This window comes from Homo sapiens, chromosome X (assembly GCF_000001405.40).
Source record: "Homo sapiens chromosome X, GRCh38.p14 Primary Assembly".
NCBI classification, from domain to species: Eukaryota; Metazoa; Chordata; class Mammalia; order Primates; family Hominidae; genus Homo; species Homo sapiens.
The window spans coordinates 9289317-9293519 of NC_000023.11; the positions used below are offsets into that span (position 1 = coordinate 9289317).

The following is a 4203-nucleotide window of genomic DNA, read 5'->3' on the forward strand; positions in this document are numbered from 1 at the left end:
CATGAAATTGTTTCTTTTGTTTTCTTAAGCCTCAGCTGGGAGACAGTGGCAACTGAAACAGTGTTCTCACATTGTATCCTGATCTTCAAGATGCTTTACAAATGAAATTACTTTCTGATAATGAAATCCACTAGACTGTGGGAGAGCCTATTAGGAGAAGCCCCATGATCCCCCTCACTGCTTTGGGCCATTTCAAAGCTGATGCTCAGGGGCCCTTCCCTGACTCTGGAAGGAAAGCCAACGAGCAGATCCTGCGTGGAGAGAGGGAACGCGGAAGCCCTGTCTCCCGGCCTTGTGCTTTAACATCCAATTCTCATTATTTGGGCCTCCAGGGGCAAGGAGCTCGCAGTACCGGGGAGGTGAAACACCACCTGAAATGCAGGAAAAGTCTGGAGTTTGTCGTAAAATTTTAAAATCCGCATCCTTCCTATAGAATTGTCTAAGCTTCAACTTTTTCAGAAGAAATGTTCTGATCAGGAATAATCCTAGTCTAACTGCAAGTCTTTACCAAAGCGGGCAGGCAATCTGAACACTCTCTTGCCTATGCCCTGCTCTCCCATGAGTCGTTGGAGTTTAACTTGCATTTTCCGCCCCGTTCAATTCCCTTGGTCCTGGGTTGAGTGGATCTTGTGAGAGAAAAGGACACGACCCCAGAATCTGCAGAGAGTGTAGAGTTTTCCTTGGAGCAATGGGTCCCATACTTTAGCAGCAAGTATATCAGGATCCCTTGGAAGTATTTTTTTTCTTTTTCTTTTTTTCTTTTTTAGACAGGGTCTCACTCTGACAACCAGGCTGGAGTGCGGTGGCACAATCTTGGCTCACTGCAACCTCAATCTCCTGGGCTTGAGCAATCCACCCGCCTCAGCTTCCCGAGTAGCTGGGACTACAGGAGCACACCACCAAGCCCGGCTAATTTTTGTATTTTTTGTAGAGACAGGGTCTCACTACGTTGCCTGGTCTGGTCTCGAACCCCTGGGTTCAAGTGATCCGCCTGCTTCAGCCTCCCAAAGTGCTGCAATTACAGGCGTAAGCCACCATGCCCAGCCTAGAAGTGTCGTTGGAAAGGGCCACCCACCCAGGAGTTCCTGATTCAGCAGGTCTAGGTCGGGCCCAAGAATGTGCATTTCTAATAAGCTCCCCAGTGAGGCAGATGTGGCCACAGAGAGCAGCACTTTTCCAGAACCGCTAACCTGGAGTTTAATTAAATAAGCTGTGGGGAGGATGTGAAAAACTCATTGCAAGCTCATTCGCAGAAGCTGCCACTTGATTGGCACACATTGTTTTGTCGCGACATGTTTTCTTTAACACCTGTCTGATTGCACACATTTTCTATTTGGAGAGAAGCCACACTTCCCAGGTTAGAATCACAGCTTCCCGCAAGTGTGTGGTCTGAAGGAAGTCTCTGAATGTCCTGGGGTCTTAGTAAGGACGTCAGAAGGGGGCACAGAATGAATTGGGGCAAGTAGAGCAAAGCAGTCAGACTGCCCGGTATGTGAGACAGCCCAGAAATGCAGTGATTTTTATTCTTATTTTTACCCGCCTCGGATGTGAAAGCTGTAATATAACCGACTCTGGTAAATCAACACCAGTGGGTCGTAATTCCTTATAGCATTCATGTGCAGCCCCTACAAGTGTTAAGTGGTTTAGCGTCTCCTTGGCCCTAGATGGTACTAAGCGGAAGTAAGAGTATGTTGTGCTGTTACGTTTAAGAAGATGACTTGGGCCGATCACGGTGGCTCGCATTTGTAATCCCAGTACTTTAGGAGGCTGAGGCGGGAGGATAGATTGAGGCCAGGAGTTTGAGATCAACCTGGGCAAGATAGTGAGAGCCCCCTCTCTACAAATAAAAAATTAAAAAATTAGCTGGTGTGATGGCATGCAGTTGTGGTCCTAGCTACTTGGGAGACTGACATGGGAGGATCCCTTGAGCCCAGGAGGTCAAGGCTGCGTTGAGCCATGATGGCACCACTGCACTCCAGACTGGGTGACAAGGTGAGACCCTGTCTCCAAAAAAACAAGGCGACTTAGTAAAAAATCGGGGGGAAATATGGCAATAAATATAAGAAAACTTAAGGAGGAAATATTATGTCTATAGGAAAAGCATGGTTATATATCAAGGTAAATACTGTGCCCAGTTCTCATCTAATTATTGTGAGGGTTGTCAAAGAAGAAAATTGATTTTATAACCTCTAGAATTTTTTCAAAGAAGGGAGGGAGGAGGGAAAGAGGAGAGAGAGAAGAACCTGAAAGGAAACGGGAAATGAAAAGAAAAGGAAGCAAAGGGAAAAGAAATCTCTCAAAACATCAGGTGTGCCTTTGTTTAGTTGAGTATAGACTGTCTGTGGTGGCTTGGGGTCGTGGCGTTTTAATTGCACAATGCACCAATATGATGCTGCGCGTGCAGTGTAAACAGCTAACTGAAAGCAGAGTACCAAATGAATACACACAAGCCTCGGAAGCCGCCTCAACCGGGGCAGCTGCTGCCCTTCACCGAGCCCTGGAACTTCTTTTGTTACCTGAGCCCTTAACACTCGTCTCCAGGCAACCGGCGCCCCCTCCCCACCGTCTAGAGTGGGAGGCGCCGGCCCCCGGCAGGGCTGCGGCTCTCCGGTTTCATCCCACCGGTCCAGATTGCTGAGGAGTTATGTTTAAATAACTTCTCTATTCCGTAATCAGTACGCTCCTCCCGACCCATTAATACAGCGAAGCTGCAGTCTCATATTTGGGGCCTCGAAATCACTTCTGATTGCAGGGTGGGAAAACAAACCACCACCAAAGTTACAGGTTATACACGATACCCAGACAGAGGCCCACAAACAGATGTGTATACCTATATGTGCACACAAACATGCACACAGTACACACGCACGCACATGCATGTGTGCATGCAAACACGCATGTGCGTATATACACAGAAACACACAAATGCAGACACAAACATGTAAACGCCATGCATGCAATTGCGTACACACGTGCATATGTAGGCAGTATCATGTCTGTACACACATGCACACCTATGTGTGCATATGGGTATGTGTGCATACACGTATGCATACAGACACACATGCCCATATACACACATGCACATGCATATACACCCACACATATTAATATGGTGAGCTCTGTTTTTCAACTGAGAGACTGAATAAAGTAGGGACATTTTAAGGCCTTTCCTCAAAGAGGTTCATTGTTTAAAATTGTAGGCCAGGGCAACAACATTCTAAAGACTCGAGGCTTTGAACTCACACCTCCAGTATTCCAGTCTCTGCTGTGTGCTACATCGGGCCCTTCCTTCTCAGAGCACAGGAACTGTCAACCTTGGGGTTCTGGGTGGAACCCTATGGGTTCTCTCTCTTATCACAATGATGGCTTGCCCTGGGGCCGACCTAGCCACCTCCAACTCCTACCAAGCACCACGAAGCTTTCCATAACAGGAGACCAAGTCAAAGAAAGGTAATGGCCACCGCCTTTCTCGTATTGATCTTCCGCTAACAGGCAGATCATAACTGAGCACGTCAACCCAAACCTAATGTATTCCGGGGCTTACTCCTTGGCAAAGTGGACCAGCCCTGTTCTCCCTGAACCAAGGCAAGAAAACTATGTAGAAAGCAGAACATGAGAAATCAATCTGATAAAATGAGACCAGCTCAGAGAACAGTAAACAGTGACCTCTCTCCCTCAGTCACCTGTCTGCTCTGCAAATTAGGAACTAGGTCTTCCTAGCAGGTAGGCAGGTGCCAGGTGGGGCCCAGGTGTGGGCGGCAGTGGGAAGGGGAGAGGAGAACCCACCCTATACACCGCATTCCCGCCGGCAGACCAAACAGCCGGCGGCACTTTGGTCGCTGGATGCGGGGAGCAAAGAACAATTCATTAAAGGCTTTCAGGATGAAAATCCTCACAACAAATTGCCTTTCTCCTCTCCCTCTGAGTCTTCACTCTTATGTAAATGTATTCAAAAAACCACCACTGTGCTTTCAGTGAAATGACACCACAAAGCTACCAGAGGTCTCCGGGCTGTCTGGGTGCTTGGCAAATGTTTCTAACATCCCTATTAAAACACAGCCCGGATCTGCAGCATCCAAACGGAGGGAGATTAGCCGCGAGGCAGGGCGCCTTCGGACGGAGCTAAGCTGGGGCTTCCGAAGCGTCTCTCCTCCTGATCTCTATCAGGCAATTTTACGTAATCAGAAAAAATCAGCTTGC

General features: G+C 47.9%; 1 annotated feature.

The window, feature by feature from the left end:
• Positions 3295–3882: an enhancer, noted in NCBI's record as "OCT4-NANOG-H3K27ac-H3K4me1 hESC enhancer chrX:9260651-9261238 (GRCh37/hg19 assembly coordinates)". NCBI's record gives its function as "activates a minimal SCP1, AML or CMV promoter by ChIP-STARR-seq in naive H9 embryonic stem cells {active_cell/tissue: H9 hESC(naive)}" and the evidence as "EXISTENCE:reporter gene assay evidence [ECO:0000049][PMID:30033119]".